This window comes from Homo sapiens, chromosome 9, assembly GCF_000001405.40.
Source record: "Homo sapiens chromosome 9, GRCh38.p14 Primary Assembly".
Taxonomy (NCBI): domain Eukaryota; kingdom Metazoa; phylum Chordata; class Mammalia; order Primates; family Hominidae; genus Homo; species Homo sapiens.
The window spans coordinates 121,677,116-121,692,769 of NC_000009.12; the positions used below are offsets into that span (position 1 = coordinate 121,677,116).

At 53.2% G+C, this 15,654-nt stretch overlaps 1 protein-coding gene across 2 annotated transcripts in view, besides 2 other annotated features; it reads left to right on the top strand.

The window, feature by feature from the left end:
• The window catches only part of DAB2IP (DAB2 interacting protein), a 218,457-nt gene that overhangs the window by 110,042 nt on the left and 92,761 nt on the right, over positions 1-15,654 (top strand). For both annotated transcript variants that reach the window (NM_032552.4, NM_001395010.1), the window contains exon 2: positions 1,563-1,666. In NM_032552.4, the coding sequence (NP_115941.2) occupies positions 1,563-1,666 (104 nt within the window). The remainder of the gene's footprint in view (positions 1-1,562; positions 1,667-15,654) is intronic.
• Positions 7,184-7,684: an enhancer, noted in NCBI's record as "H3K4me1 hESC enhancer chr9:124446578-124447078 (GRCh37/hg19 assembly coordinates)". NCBI's record gives its function as "activates a minimal SCP1, AML or CMV promoter by ChIP-STARR-seq in naive H9 embryonic stem cells {active_cell/tissue: H9 hESC(naive)}" and the evidence as "EXISTENCE:reporter gene assay evidence [ECO:0000049][PMID:30033119]".
• Positions 10,052-10,201: an enhancer, noted in NCBI's record as "active region_28925". NCBI's record gives its function as "activates an Ori minimal core promoter by ATAC-STARR-seq in GM12878 lymphoblastoid cells {active_cell/tissue: GM12878}" and the evidence as "EXISTENCE:reporter gene assay evidence [ECO:0000049][PMID:35858748]".

Sequence of the window (15,654 nt, forward strand, 5' to 3'; positions counted from 1 at the left end):
GGCTGGCTGCTTTCCTAGATTCTGGATTTCCTGCTGGCCTCTGTAGGCCTCCCAAGTTTAAAGCCTCTGGAAAATAACTGGAAGCCAGAAGTCACAGATTCTCATGTTTGAAAAAACGTGGGGGCTGACATAGTGGCTGAGCCCTGTAATCCCAGCACTTTGGGAGGCCAAGGTGGGAGGATCGCTTGAGGCCAGGAGTTTGAGACCAGCTTGGGCAACAAAGGAAACCCCCATCTCTACAATTTTTTTTAAAAAAATTAGATAGGTGTGTTGGGGTGTGCCTGTGGTCCCAGCTACTTGGGAGGCTGAGGCAGGAGGATTGCTCGAGCCTAGGAGTTCTAGGCTGGTTGAGTATGATTGCATCACTGCACTCCAGCCTGAGCGAAAGAGTGAGACCCTGACTCTAAAACAAACAGAAAACTTGAGAAGTCATCCAAGCTCCCCAAGTGTGGCATCCCAGGAGATGGCTCAGTTATCTGTCTGCTTATATGCCTCCAGTGACAGGGAGCCCACTACATTACAAGGAGTGGGGGTTTTGGGGAACCTTTCCCCCCGCTTTTTTTTGAGACAGAGTCTCACTCTGCTGCCCAGGCTGGAGTGCAGTGGCACGATCTTGGGTCACTGCAACTTTCGCCTCCCGGGTTCAAGTGATTCTCCCACCTCAGCCTCCCGAGTAGCTAGGACTACAGGCACACAACACCACACCTGGCTAATTTTTGTATTGTCAGTAGAGACAGGGTTTCACCATGTTGACCAGGCTGGTTTCGAACTCCTGACCTCAGGTGATCCTCCCGCCTCGGCCTTCCAAAGTGCTGGGATCACAGGTGTGAGCCACTGTGCCAGGCCTTTTTCCCCCCTTTTTAAAAAATTGCGATAAAATATGTAAAACATAAAAGTTATCATTTTAACTAGTTTTAAGTGTACAATTCAGTGGCATGAAGTCCATTTGTAATGTTCTGCAACCATCACCACTATCCATTCCTAAAACTCTTCATCACCCTTTACAGAAACTCTGTACCATTAAGCAATAACTCCTTGTTCCCCTCTCTCATCAGCCTCTGCTAACTTCAAATCTGCTTTCTGTCTCTACGAATTGGCCTCTTCTAGATAGTTCATATAAATGGGATCATACAAAATATGTCCTTTTGGGTTACTCAGCGTAATGTTTTCAAGGTCCATCCACATTACAGCTTAAATCAGAACTTCATTCCTTTTTAGAGCAGAATGGTATTCCTTTGCATGTCAGTACCATGTGTGTGTGTCCATTCTTCTGCTGATGGACCCTTGGGTTTCCACCATTTGGCTGTTGTGAACATTTGCATACAGGTATTTGAGTACTTGTTTTCAATTATTTTGGGTTATACCCAGGAGTGGAATTGCTGGGTCATGTGGTACTTGTATTTTTAATTTTTGGAGGAACTGCCAGACTTTTCCATAGTGCCTGGACCATTTTCTAGGGACCGGTTTGTCTGTTGTCCTGACTGGGATGGGAGTGGCAGGAGGCCCTAGCTGTGTGGCCTTGGCTGTTCTTGTTCAACCTCTCTCTCCTCCTCTGTTGGCAGAGTCGCCTCAAGAAAGGCCGGGCTCTCGGCGCAGCCTGCCTGGCAGCCTTTCCGAGAAGAGCCCCAGCATGGAGCCCTCGGCCGCCACGCCGTTCCGGGTCACGGTAACTATCTCTGCGTCACCAACACCGCCACTGCCACCACCATCACCACCTCGCCCGGGGTGCTGCTCTGTGACCCCACGGCCCCCCTTCCTGGAGCCTCATGGACCCGGAGAGCATCCGGCCTCCCTTGCTCTAGGTATCCGATCCCTCAGCTGCTCCCATCTCCGTGGCTCAGCCCTGGTCCCGGGGGCCACATGGGGGGTCCCATCCTGAGAGGGAGGGGGCAGGTGGAGGACAGACAGCACCGAAGGCTATGGGGCCCAGCGCTGAGCTGGCCCGGAAAGAGAAGAGGCTCTTGTTAGTTTAGATAAATGTACCCTTGAGGGCGCACACACACTGTGCTTCTGCAACCCCGAAAAGATGCACTATTTTTGTTTCCATATATTTTAACACCTCTCATGGCATACCATAATTTAAATCTTTCTTGGTGGTACATAAAATAATGCTATATATTATAACTGATGATGGCTTAGAACCGACAAAACACAGAATATATATCATAGCTATTGAACTGAGTGGTCCCCACAAGCACACAGACTTTTTAAAAATTACAAACCTAAACAACTTTATGGAAACAGAACCCAATGACCCTTAACGTCTGACTGTTCATACCCTTCTGCATTTGTGCATGTACACACACACACACACACACACACACACACACACACACACCAGAGTTCTGGGTCCCTTCACTCCCTCGTTCAGGAGCATTACTGTGTGTACCTCTCTCCAGGGCTGTGCCAGGCACCAGAAACGCAGCGATGACATAGACACATTCCTTTCTCCACGGAGCTCAGGTCTGTAGGTCAGGTGGATGTTGGATGGTTTGTTCATCCATTCATTCACTCATCAGTTATTCTGGCATGCCTGCTGTGTGCAAGCAGAGGAAAGAAGGTTCTGGGTGGCAGGAACAGAGAGTGTGCAGGCCTGGCTGTCACTGGATAGCATCATATAGGGGCTCCAGGGGAGCTGGAAGTGATTGGCTATTCACAGTGGGTTGGGAGGGGGTCCCACGGGAGCTGGCTTTTGAGCTGCATCTTGAAGGGTCCGTAGAAAATGGCTAGGCAAGGACAGAGAGAGAGAGAGAGGGACTTCCGGGGAGGGAGAACAGCAGTTGCAAAGGTATGGAGGCACCCTAGAAATTTCCTCTGCTTGCCATAGGGCTGGCTCCTCATCCCTTGGGCATCAGCTCAGATATCAGCTCCTGACCACACCACCTCAAGGAAGCCCTCTTGCTTTTCCGCCATCACAGCAGCCTGCTCTTCTGTTTCCTAATACTTAGTGTCAGCATGAGAATGTGAGCTCATAAGGTCAGGGGCTGATGTGTTTGTGGCATGCAGAACTGCTTGGTGGAGCTGGAGTTGAGGGGATCTGGAGGACAGTGTAGGAGGTGAGGCTGGGAGGCCTGGCCGAGTCAAGGTCACGTGGAACCTCCAGTACCAGGCCAAAGGGATGGGGCTTTCCCCAGGGCCACTGATTCTCTCCACTGCCAGTATGTTATAAAAATGCCTTAAAAACTAGCTTATTGTCCTTCTTTAAGATTTCAGTCCACTGGGCCAGGGCAGGGCCTGGGAACCTGCATTTTAACAAGCTTTCCCCAGGAGGTGATTCTGAGTCCCCAGCTGGGGGTTGAGCCCATGGGCAATGAGGAGGAAGCCTGCGCTGAGACGATTCAGGGTCATGGCCCTGAGTTTGGCCAGGGGGTCTCAGGAAGCTGGTCTCCAGCCTGCAGGGAGCGCTTGGAGGCTGGGACAAGGGTGACCCCCATCAGCTGGAGCGAAGACCAAGTTCTGATCTCTCTGGATCCCTGGGGCCACAGCAGGCAGGGTGGGCCTTCAGGGGGACCCTAGGGAACGATGACTAATAATAATTAGTAATAGTAGCCACCTCCATTGATGAAGTGCCTACTGTGTGCCAGGCACTGGGCTCACTGTCCTACATCCCTGATCTCTTTTTTTTTTCTTTTTTTTTTTTTTTTTGAGACAGAATCTTGCTTTGTCGCCCAGGCTGGAGTGCAGTGGTGTGATCTTGGCTCACTGCAACCTCTGCCTCCCGGGTTCAAATAGTTCTCCCACCTCAGCCCCCCGAGTAGCTGGGATTACAGGAGCCTGCCACCACCCCCAGCTATTTTTTGTATTTTTAGTAGAGACGGGGTTTCACCATGTTGGCCAGGCTAGTCTTGAACTCCTGACCTCAGGTGATCCTACCACCTCGGCCTCTCAAAGTGCTGGGATTACAGGCATGAGCCACCACGCCCAGCCTACCTGATCTCTCTTCATCCAGGAGACACACCTACAGCTGAAACATTGGTTACCCCATTTCCCAGGTGAGGAAACAGGTTCCGAGAGGTAAAGTCACTTGCTGCCCAAGCTCCAACTGCTACTAAGTGGCGGAACCAAGATTCGACCCCAGGTCTCTGTGACTCCAGGGCATGAGGCACACCCATCCTCAGGCTAGGAGGCGGATCCATTGCCCCACACCCCCCCAGAACCCCATCAGCATCGCTTTTCCGGCTATTTCCCTTTCTGAGTTGCTCTAATAGGGGTATTATCACACCTTAAAGTTTTTATAATTTGCAGCTCTTTAAGTGACAGCTAGGATCAGTGTTTTCCCTGTAGTGGTGTCTTCATTCTGTCTCCCAGGGTAGAAACCACCTTCAGTCAGAGCCAGCCTTGGGAACCTCGAGCTGCCTGGGACTCAACTCGCAGTCCCACCTGCCCGGTTAGGGTCTGCAGGATGGAGAGCGTGTTCAAGGTGGTCGTTTTGCCCACTTCTCATGGCAACCCTCTAGGGGAGGCACCATTAGTGTGCCCATTTCACAGGTGAGGAAACTGAGGTTCAGAGGTGAAATTCTTTAGCTGGTGTCACTCAGCTCCTGAGTCAGGACTGCCGGACATCTACGTTTTGTGTCCTTTCCTGGGCACCTTGGTCCTTAAGAGATGTGATTTGAGATTCTCTTCTGGGCTGGGTGCTGGGAGCTGAGGGGACTGGAGAACTCAGAGGTGGGGATCTGGGTTCAAATCCCAGATCTTCCATGACCCATGTGATTTCAGTAGCCACTGAGCCTCTCCGAGCCTTGTGTTCTTGACAGTAAAATCTGGAATGACAGACTTTGCTTGGACTGTGGACTTGGTGAATGTGGTCGCCCAAGTCTGACCCATGGTAGGTGCTTCATGGATGAAATCCATCATTAACATCCAAATCGGGTTTCCATTTTTGGCTGTAAAACATCAGTAAAGATCTAGGAGGGTTGGAGTACAGGCAGAGGACAAGGTGTTTGGGGGAAGGTCAGTGGTGAGCCTGGCCTGGGCCTTGGGGACAGTCCCTCACACAGACCCTGTGCAGGGCCAGAAGCACCCTCCTCCCTCCCCTAGCCCGTAGCACACACTTGCTCACTTACAGGCTCCCAAAAGCTATGTCCTCACGTGCTCAGCTGACTTTTGCTCTGTGTAGACCCTCGAGGGAACCCAGGAAACATGGTTTTGCCTCGGGGAGGCAGGGGAGATGCCACAGGATGTACTGGAATAACTGCCACCTTCACTGCCATTTCAAACCCAGATGGCAGGCTGTCAGCATCTCTTACAGGGGTGCTCCGCAGGGAGAATCAATGAGTCACGGTGTAAGGTCTACAAGGCTCAGCCTGTCCACCTTCTCCATGGAAACTGAGGCCTGGGAAGGGCTTGTCAGAGGTCACCACCCAGCTGACAGCAGTTCAGGAGCCTGGGTTGTTTACACCATCACATGCCACCCCTCCTCATTTTGTGAGTCAGCCGAGGACCTGCAGCCACTCTGTAGGGCATTGAAGGCTCAGTGCTAGTCCTGCCCCTGCCTCTTGTAGACTGTATGACCCTGGGAGAGCCTCAGTTTCCCCTTTTGTGAAATGTGGGGGATGGACTTTGTAAGGCAGCGTACAGTTCAGGCATAAATAGGTGCTTAAATGTTCTGGTGCAGTAGCTAAGAGAATGGGCTCTAGAGAGTTCCCCGACCCAGGTTTCAGGCCCTGCACAGCCTCATACCAGCTTTGTGGCTTGCTCAGGAGTGGAACTTTTCTGCCTATCTGGGACAACTCCCTCCCTCCTATAGGGAGAGTTGGGGGGTAGGGGAGTGGCTCTCCAGGACCACACAGTGCTACGAGGCTGGCATGTGCCCTGCAAGTTATAGGGGGCCCTGAATGAGGATGGGGGAAGGGGCCTGGGAGTAGATGACCAGAGAGGCTTCCTGTGCATCTGTGGCCATCAGCTCTCAGGCTCCTGAGATTCAAACCCAGGTCTGTCTGCTCTGTGCCAGTAGTGTCTCCTGGAAGGGAAGGAGGGAAGGGTGGCAGGCAGCAAGCTGGGGCCCTGGATCTGCATAGACCAATGGTCAGACTGGGTCTGGGGGCTTTGCATGTGCCCACCCAGCTTCCCCAGGCCCTGGACCCCTTAGCAGCAACAGCATGCTGTTCTTTCTCTCCTGCCACTCCATGGCAGAGGAGCCGTGGTTTGATTTGGGAGGCAAAGAGCTGATGACTCTTCCTGGTCTCCCCACGAGCTCCTTAGCCTGCTCCCTTCCCCAGCCCCAAACTTCCCTGTTGCGGGCTGGGTCCTTCCTCCCTCCCTCCTTCCTCTGCCCCCACCCCCCTCCCATCAACCTTGAGGATGGCTGGCAGGCCTGGGGTGTGGGAGGTGGCAGAGGCTCAGGGAAACTTGACAGCCAATTGATTCCTCCTCGGGAAGTTGAAAGTGGAGAGTCGTGTTTGAAGGTTTAGCTGAAATTAGGTCTCAGGGCTATTTTTTGCGAGATGGAGAAGGAGAAGTGTCAGGGAGGGGAAGGCCCAGGGGTCTGGCAGAAACTGCAGATAAACTCAACATTGGGTTGATTATGGATGCTTCTAGGAGCAGGTCTTTGGTTTCTTTCAACAACTCACTTTTATTGGTGCTTGGTTGTGCACACCCTGCATAGGATGCTGTGACAGAACAAGGAACAGTTATCTCTGGCCAGGAAGGACAGGGAAGAATTCTTAAAGAAGGGACTCTTGGGGCTGGGCTTTGAGGAGTGTATAGGAGTTCGTCAGGAACCAAGGGAGAAGAGTATTTCAGTTAGTGAAGTGAATAGAAGGAAACAAGCTAATGGCCCTGTGTGATTGGAGTGCTGGATGGGTTCAGGGCCTGGAGAGAAGAGTGAGAGACCTTGGTGGGTGAGCTAAAGCCTTTGGACTTTCCCCTGCAGGATACAAGAACCACAGTGGATGATGGCTGTGAGTGGAGCTAGCAGTAGACCTCTGAGCTGTGGACCTCAGGTTTTCCAGCTGCTCACCCCTTTTCTCACTCCTGTAGCCTCCCTGCACCCTCCCCATGTTTCAGCTGTCTTTCTGTCACACAAACTCAAGAAACAGGCATGTGAACACAAACATGCAAGCTAGTGGGTGACCCTCCCGCCCATGTCACCATGGAAAGGCTGTTGGAAATTAACTGGTTCAACCCTTCCCTATACAGAGGAGGGACTGAGAATCATAGACGGGAGGGTCCTTTCCTGAGGTCACACAGCATGTCTAGGGTAGGGCCTGGAGTTGAGCCCAGGTCTCTGTCCCTCTCCCCCGCATCCAGTGGTCCTCACCCCTTACTCCTTCCTGTCCTCTCCTCCCAGCACCTGGATATCAGCCACCCCGTCTGAGCTGAGCCCTTCTCCCAGCCCCCATCACATTTCCTGGGAGGAATGGGTGTTCTTTGGTCCAACTGCCCTCGGAGCCCCACGACAGCTCCTTCCCGCTCATCTGCACACTGCCCCCTCCTGGCCACCAGGCCCCAGCCCCAGCTGTAGAGGGACCCGAAGTTTGGGCTGCGGGCTGCCTGAAGGAGGAATGCATGACTTCAGGTCCAGGAGGGGGCATTCTCTGCTCCCTGCAGAGCCGGCCCCGCTGCCCCCCATTTGTGCCCCTTCCAAGCTACGGAGGCTCCGGGTGGCTGTTGGGGTGGGGAACAGAAAAGCCAGCCAGGCTCACAGATCAGACAAGCCAGATCTGTCCCAGGGTATATGGGGAAACTGAGGCCTGGAGAGGAGCAGCTTGCCCAGGATACTTGCTGGGGCTCCCTCCACTGGCCCAGGCTGCTGTGGGTCCATCTCAGATGGTCGTTCACTTGGGACATATTTATGTTTGTGGCCCATCAACCAGTGGAGGGATGTCAGCCACGTGGTCCTGGCTGTAACAGGGCGGTAGTGCTGGACCCCTGGGTGGGGTCCCACCATGGGCGCCCCAGTTTTCTCCTTGAAGTATGAGGAATTTGCTTAGTTCTGCTCTGTGAGTCAGTCTCCTGACCCAGCATCCGGCGTGTATTCAGCGGATGGGCGGGGTGGTGGAAGAGCAAACCCTGCCCCCTCCGCCCCCTCCACCCTCACTCCCTCCATCCCTGCCCTTCACGGAGGCTGATTGGTATTAAACTATTCAAACCCAAAAGGAACATTACCGTCATTTTGGTCTGTGTCTGCCTTCCGCGGGGGGCATCCCCCTTTTCTGCAGAGGGAGTGTTGGAAGGTGGGACTCAGGAGTTGTCCGGGGTGGCCAGGGTGGGGCAAGGATGTTCTTCGGGGCAGGAGTCTGGGGACAGGGGGTCTTGGAGCCTCCTGAATCCAAGACCAGGCTAGTCTGAGGCCTGGGACAGAGGTGGGACTGCTGCAGTATTGGTAGGGTTGGGAGGCTGTCGCCCCACCCCATTAATACACAGGAAGGTGGTTTCATCAGCTCCATTTTACAGTTGAGGATCCCAGGCTTAGGGAGGAGAGAGGCCTGGCCTCAGCAGGTCTCCAGCTGGTGGGTGGTAGGGGCAGGAGCCCAGCTCTCGTCTGCGAGCCTTGCTGCGGTGTGAACGAACTTACTTTCTTCTCTCCTTTTGCCTTTCTTTATTCTTTCTTTCGATAAATTTGCCATCATCACCAACTATGTGTCAGGGCCTATGCCAGTCATTGAGGATACAAAGAGGATGAAAACGTAGTTGCTACCTGCAGAAATACAGAAGGGCCAGCCGGGGCTTGGTGAAGTAATTTCCAGGCAGGTGAAGGGGAAAGGACATTCCAGGCAAAGGCCAGGACATGGGAAACAGCATGAGCAAATGACAGCAGGAACTGAGCGCAGTTTGGGGGCTGAAATGTGAGGAAGTGGCTGGAATGGAAGCGACAAGAGATCCACGGCAGTGAACAGAGCAGATGGGATCTAAGGCCATATTAACAGGAGTATGAGGTCCTCAGCAAGGGAGGTGAGGTGGGCCAGAGTAGGCCAGAGCAGACATGGAGTGCAGCATACTTGACCAGGCTAGGAGAGTCTGGAGCTCCTTCAGTGGGCAGAGACCAAGACTGGGTGGGGATCCAGCATGGGGTTGGGGGGACAAGCAAATTGCTTTTCTCAAGCAGGTTCTCAGGAGCCTGTTCCAACCCCCCCAACATCTGTGCTCAGAATGCCCTTGGGCAGGGGTAGGGGGAAGAGCCCACTTCAAGGATCCCTGGAATCTTCTGCCTCATCCTGGCAAGTGGCAGCTGGCTTGGGCAGTGTGAGTGAGGAGGATGGAAGTGAAGGGAACAAGCCAGCCTCTGTACCCCCTCCTCTTCCTGCCCTGGGGACTTCCAAATACATCAGAAGGCCATCCCTGTAAATTCCATTTCCCCAGCCCTGCACTTAAGCCTGTTGGGCAGCATGGAATCAGATGAACTGGTTCCCGTTAAGGTGTAAAGGCCACCACCCCAGTCCCTGCCAGGTTCAGTAACTGGCGAGTGGAATGCTCTCTGTGGGGGCCTTTCTTCCTCTCTTCACACCCACTCAGGGTCTTGGGGTACAGTGCTGGCCTCTCCCAGGGATAGTCCCCCCAACCCAGGGATGAAGCAGGATTAGAATCTTGGCCACTGCTCCCTTCTGTAGGATGGCTCAGGCAAGTTGCCCCACTCTCTTTCCCTGTCTGTAAATGGGCAGGAACCCCTCCCCACAGAGTGGCTGTGAGGGCTCAGTGCCTGGCACAAGGCAGCATTCCCCACACCTGTTCCCTTTGCTTGTGTGAGGGGTGCACCTCCACCCCACATTTCCTCCAGAGCCCCAGGTAACTGGGCAGACCCCTCCCACTTCCATACCCTTCCGTCACGGCCCCAAAGCAACATCACCCCTGACTGAACTTCTAGGGCTCAGCCCTGGCAGTAGAAGGTGGAGAGGGGCTGGAGGGGTTCCTAGGGGACCAGAGACCAAGTTCTTAGGTGGTGAGTTCAGATGGAGATGGAGGTGTCTGCGCAGGGTGGTTTCCTGCCAGTTGGGGGCAGCAGAGGGTAGCAAGTGGACTTCTGGGTGGCTCCTCCCAGTGAGTGTTGAAGTCCCAGGGGTTTGTGTGTCAGGGGCCACAGGGAGCTGGCCCAACAAGGTGTTAGCTGGCTAAACAAGGTGTAGAACATACTGCTGGGGGCTGGGAGCAGCTCAGATCCGGGAGCACCTGTCAATGGCTGGGCCTGGCATGACTGGCTGTGCCAGCTGGGCCTAGGTTGACCAGAAAGCCAGGGGTTCTGAAAGGGGACCCTGGTCAGGGACACTGGATGGAACAAGGTCTGGGGCTGGGACAGCTGTCCACCAAGAGAAAGGGCACAGGGTGAGGTGGACCAGCATGTGATCTGTCAGGCAGGGCTGCTGCACTGTGGTCACCAGGCTGGGGCCAACAGACACTCAGTCACTGCCACCCTTTGATGGGTTATAGGCACCTGTTCCACCTACCACTGCTTTGAGAGGGGGTAAGGCGGGCATTGTGGGAGAGGCAGGGTGGTGGTCAGAGCTTGCACTCCAAGTCCCACTGGCCTGGGTTCGAATCCCAGCTCTACCACCTCTGCTGTCTGTACGATGGGGGATTTTGAATCCTGTTCTGCATAGTACTCTGAGTCAGGCCCTGTGCTGAGCACTTTCTAAGTATTGTCTCATTTAATCCTTACAACTCGAGGCTCAGATAACACAAATCTCACTCATAGAAGGTGACAAAATCAAGGCAGATGGGGAGTGAAGAGATAGCTGAGGGTGGCTCCTCTCATGGGCCTGGATCTTGAAGTTCTCACAGCGCCTGGACCATAGCATGCAGCCCAGTCTTTGCTAGTCAGTGCTGTTTTTCTCTTCATCTTACGGACGAGGATGTTGAGGCCCAGAGAGGGGAGGTGCATTGTCCTGGGCCACACGGCTTGCAGGGACAGAGCTGAGATTTGGACCCAGGCCTCCCCATCTCTCTGCCTTATCTTGTCCTGCCCCTACTTTGAGCAGGCCTGGCCCTAGGGGTCAGACACCCCTGGGATAGGAGAGAACTGCTCTCCTCTTGTCATCCTGCCCTGTGGCCCTGCAGGTCCTCCCCTTTCCTGGGAGGTGGGGGAGCCTGCATGTCAGGGGCAAGGCTCAGACGCCTTCATTTTCCCACCTCCTCATGCTACAAAAATGAAACGATCAAGTGGTATTTTGGTGGGATTACAGACATAATTATATCTGAGTTGTCAAGCGGCAATTGTTGTTTCCAAAGCCAGGAGGCCCTCTGTGGAGGTGGCAGCAGTGACATCTGTTTCTAACACAAGGCTCTGCATCGGGATGAGTAACTTCTCCTGTGGAATTGCTTAAAGAACGTCTAAAACGAGCTGAGCTTGTTACTCCCCTGCTCCAGCACCTTAGATGGCTCCCAGCAGGGTGGGGGATCCAGCTCCCCGGCCTGGCATTCAAGCCCCCCAGGCTGTCCCAGCTTCCACGCCTTTGTGTGGGCGGATCCTTCTACCCACAATTCCTCCCCATCTCTCTCTGTCTCCAGAGCTCACTAGTGCCATCCAGGGCTCTGTCCAGGTTGCAGAACACCCCATCTGTACACGCTCCCTCACGGACTCTGTGACTTCATGATCCATCACTTCTGTCTCTCCCACCAGACGGTGGTCACCTTCTCAAGGACAGGGACTGTTTCTGATTTGTCTGAACTCCCAGCACTGGGGCAAGGACTCACCTGTGGCAGGCTCATGAGGGGCTTGCGGAATGAAGGTGCACGAGACAGAGAGAGACAGGGAGTAAACGAATTAAATGGAGTAAGCGCAGGGTGAGCAGGGAAGAGGGTGAGCCGTGACCTCTCCACTTCTGCCAGCCCCCACACTTCTGCCAGCCCCCACACTGGGTGTCTGAGGCCAGAGTGGTCCCCTGCCTTGGGAGGACAGGTCAAGACAAGTGACCCAGCCCACCAGAGGCCAGCAAGGACACCAGCCCTTGCCTTGAAAAGTGCCGGACGTGGTGGCTCATGCCTGTAATCCCAGCATTTTGGGAGGTTGAGGTGGGTGGATCACCTGAGGTCAGGAGTTCTAGACCAGCATGGTCAACATGGTGAAACCCTGTCTCTATTAAAAACACAAAAAATTAGCCGGGCGTGGTAGCGCATGCCTGTAACCCCAGCTACTATGGAGGCTGAGGCAGGAGAATAGCTTGAACCTGGGAGGTGGAGGTTGCAGCGAGCTGAGATCGCGCCACTACACTCTAGCCTGGGTGGCAGAGTGAAATTCCATCTAAAAAAAAAAAAAAAAGAAACTGACCTTGACTCCACCCCATACCCATGGGCCTTCTGAGGCCAGGACTCCCAGGTGAACCTTGGCCCGCAGATGGTAAATCACCCAGGAGAAATAGCCTATAAAATCCTCTCCTAAAATGGTGCATTTTGTATTCTGTAGTGAAAAGGGCTTTTAAAAGCACTGCTTACTCAGGTGGATTTATGGAGTTTCCCCCACCCCTCCCTCCCACTAGTGTTTACTGGTCCTCAGTCCTGGAGCTCCCTGGGGTCCTGTTTTTTCCTTGGTGGCTCTTGGTCCAGGGAGAGAAACAAGATAGCATCTCTTTCCTGCCTTGCTGCCTTGGGGCCCCCCGGGCCAGCTGGGTGCCTGGAAGTGCAGGGGAATCCTACCCAACAGAAGCTCCCTGTGGCCCAGCGCAAACCTGAAAGTCCCACCATTAGTGCCCATTTGTCCCCGGGAGACTCCCCCCCCATGTGTTGTCACCTGCAAATGGGTCACCAGGGAGGCACAACAAAGCTGGAAAGAATTCAGAGATCAGCTAGACTAATCCCCGCATTGTACAGCAGGGAAACTGAGTCACAGAGCAGCTTAGGTGCTGGCTCAACGCCTCAGTCTGGTAATGGAATTACATGAGAGCTTTAGCTCTGGAGCAGCCTGTCTGCTGTGTTGAACCCAGCTCTGCCGCTTCCTGACCGTGCGGTGCTGTGCAAATTAGTTGCCCTTTCTGAACTTCTGTTCTCCCATCTGCACACTGGGTTGTGAGAATTAAAGAGAAGTCATGGGAAGCTCTAATACAGTGCCTGAAGCTTAGACAGGGCTTACTAAACACATCTGACTAATTCTCAGCAGCGTGTTGGAAGAGCCCTCATTAGTATTAATAGCAGAGCTGGGTTTTGACCCCAGACTTATAGACTCCAAACGTGGTTTTCTTGCCACTCATGCAGTGCACAGAGCACAGGATAGGGGAGTTTTGCTGGGGAATGAGCACTAAAGTCAGCAAGCCCCGGGAGGACTGGCTGGGACCTCAGTGATAGGACGTGCAGGCAGGCGGAGATAGTATAGACCCTGCTGCAGGGGTGTAACCTCCTGGTGGAATCGGCTTCCTTGCAGCCACGAGGCCCTGGGTATCCAACTCCCCACCCCTTAGCCAGGGCTGGCTGAGAGCTTAAAGAGCTGATGAGGTGTTTGTAGCCATCCAGACCTCTGGGACAGGCTTATTATGCTAAGGCAAGTGTCAGCTGGAGGATCTATGGGACAATGAGTCACTCCCTGGCTGCTCTGGGTTGTCACATCCCAAGCTGAGACCTTGGGAATGCGTAACTGGTTTCTGTTCGCTGATGCCCGCCTAATCCTGGGCACTGGCAGGTACCAGGAGGGCTCTGCTGACGTCCTCAGCTCCCCTCCCAGCTTCACCTTTACCCTCTTCAAATCTGGGCTCCCCTCTTTTTCCTCCGTTAGACTCTCAGTGTTCCTTAGGGTTCCCCTTTACTTGGGTGTCCTCTGCCCTGGGGAAGGGATTACAAGCCCAGGCTCAGGTGGTGGTGTATAACTTGGAGGCTGGAGGGACCTGTGATAACTCCAGGGGCCTCCCAGGGCAGCCAGACTCCCCGCTGTCCTACCTCTACACCTCTGCTTATGCTGTGAGTCTGCCTGGAATGCCTTTATGTGGCTATCCTGCCCCAGCCAATCTCAGCAAGCCCACCTGCTGTCCCACCTTCAATGTTTCTAAAATGCTGTCAAAAGCTGCCTCCTCCAGCAAGTCTGCCCAGATTGCTCCCAAGTGAAATCCTTTTAAAAAGCCCCACAGAGCACTTTATCTTTTTCCTTTTATATCATTAAATATTTGTGAATTCATTCAAGAAATATTGAGAGAATACCTGCCAGGCGTCCAGCACTGGAGACCCAGGTTGCCATGGCCCCTGCTCTGGAGGCTTTACAGTCCAGTATGGGGTGGGGGAGGCACTAAACAAACACACTTATAATTACAACTGTGGTAAGTCTACAGGGAGACCTGGCCTAGTGTGGGGACATCCGGGGAGGCCTCTAAGAGAAAGACTGAGGAGGTACCTGAAGGGTGTGGAGAGTCTTCCTTCCCAGGCAGGAGGAACAGCCCAGGCCCTTCTGGCTAACGGCTGGGCTGGTCTCTGGTGGTCAAAGGAAGTGATAGCAGTGAGCCGAGATCGCGCCACTGCACTCCAGCCTGAGGACAGTGAGAGACTCCATGTCAAAAAAAAAAAAAAAAACTATGACCATGAAAGTGATCATGACCGCAATGATAGCAGTTCGTATTTATTGTATGCAGGGAAATGGGCTAAGTTTCTTCCATGCGTGATCTCATTGAATCTTCACAACTACCTCGTCCCCATTTTACAGAAGAGGACACAGGCATAGAAGGTTAAGTCATGAGCCCAAGGCCCCAGAGCCATTAAGTGGTGGAATCCCCTGCTCCCACCTTCTTCCGGAGGAAGGATGAAAATTATTTACATTTTACCTGGGGATTCCTAGAGATTGAATTACCCTTAGGACCTAAAGAGGTGTGTCAAACAGTGGAATTTCAGCTGTACTGATGGGCAGGAGAAATGTTTAGGGCAGGAAGCTTCAGCTCTTGCCAGGGAACAGAACTCCAAAAGTCACAGGTTCTGGGAGCTGTAAGCTGTAAAAACGAGCTTTGAGTGTGAGAGAAGCAAACAAATTGTCCAAAGTGAAGCCCTGCGAGAAAAGCAGGGGGAGTTATCTTGGAAGCCGTTAAGAGCTGTTTTCTTGCCTTGGTCCTGAGATCTGGGCTCCTAACTCTGGAGCTTCCTGGGCCACTTGCCCTTCCTGTCCTGGTTGTGAATGTGAGCACGTGAGGGCCAGCGTGTTTAGCTTGTGTGTCTGCACAATTCTGCTGGTGCCTGATGATAGCTGAGTACATGTGTATATTTATTGGCTTATTTCAGTGTATTTGTATGTTAGCTTGTATGTTTCATGGCTGTGTATGTGTGTATTCGTGTGTGTGCTGATCAATGTGTATGTGTTTGTGTGTGTCTGTATGTGTGGTGGCACTGGGGTACTTGTATGCTTACACATACATTTCTTTGTGGGATGCCTTTCCTGTGTGCATTTGTATGCATGCCTGTCCTTGAACTTGTGTATGTTTCTGGCCCTGTATATTTCTCTATGAGAACATGTTTAAGTGTGTCTTTCCAGGCAGTATTTTAACTCAACAGTGACCCTAGAGTGTCAGGGTCCAGCCTCTTCCTGGGGCTTCCCTGAAGGCTCTCAAGGCCTATGAATTGGTTTTCTTTGTTTGACTTAAGTAGTCTGGCTACCTTCTCCAGGCGGAATATGTGGCGATCTCACTGGTATGAGATTGTAGAGGATTCTGTGGGCATAGGGTGGCCTGTGAGTAGGTGGCCACCAGGAAGTCACCAACTTAATCCCAGCTTAAGGTGCCTCCCCTCTTTCGCCTGTCACAGTGTCTGACATTCCATTAG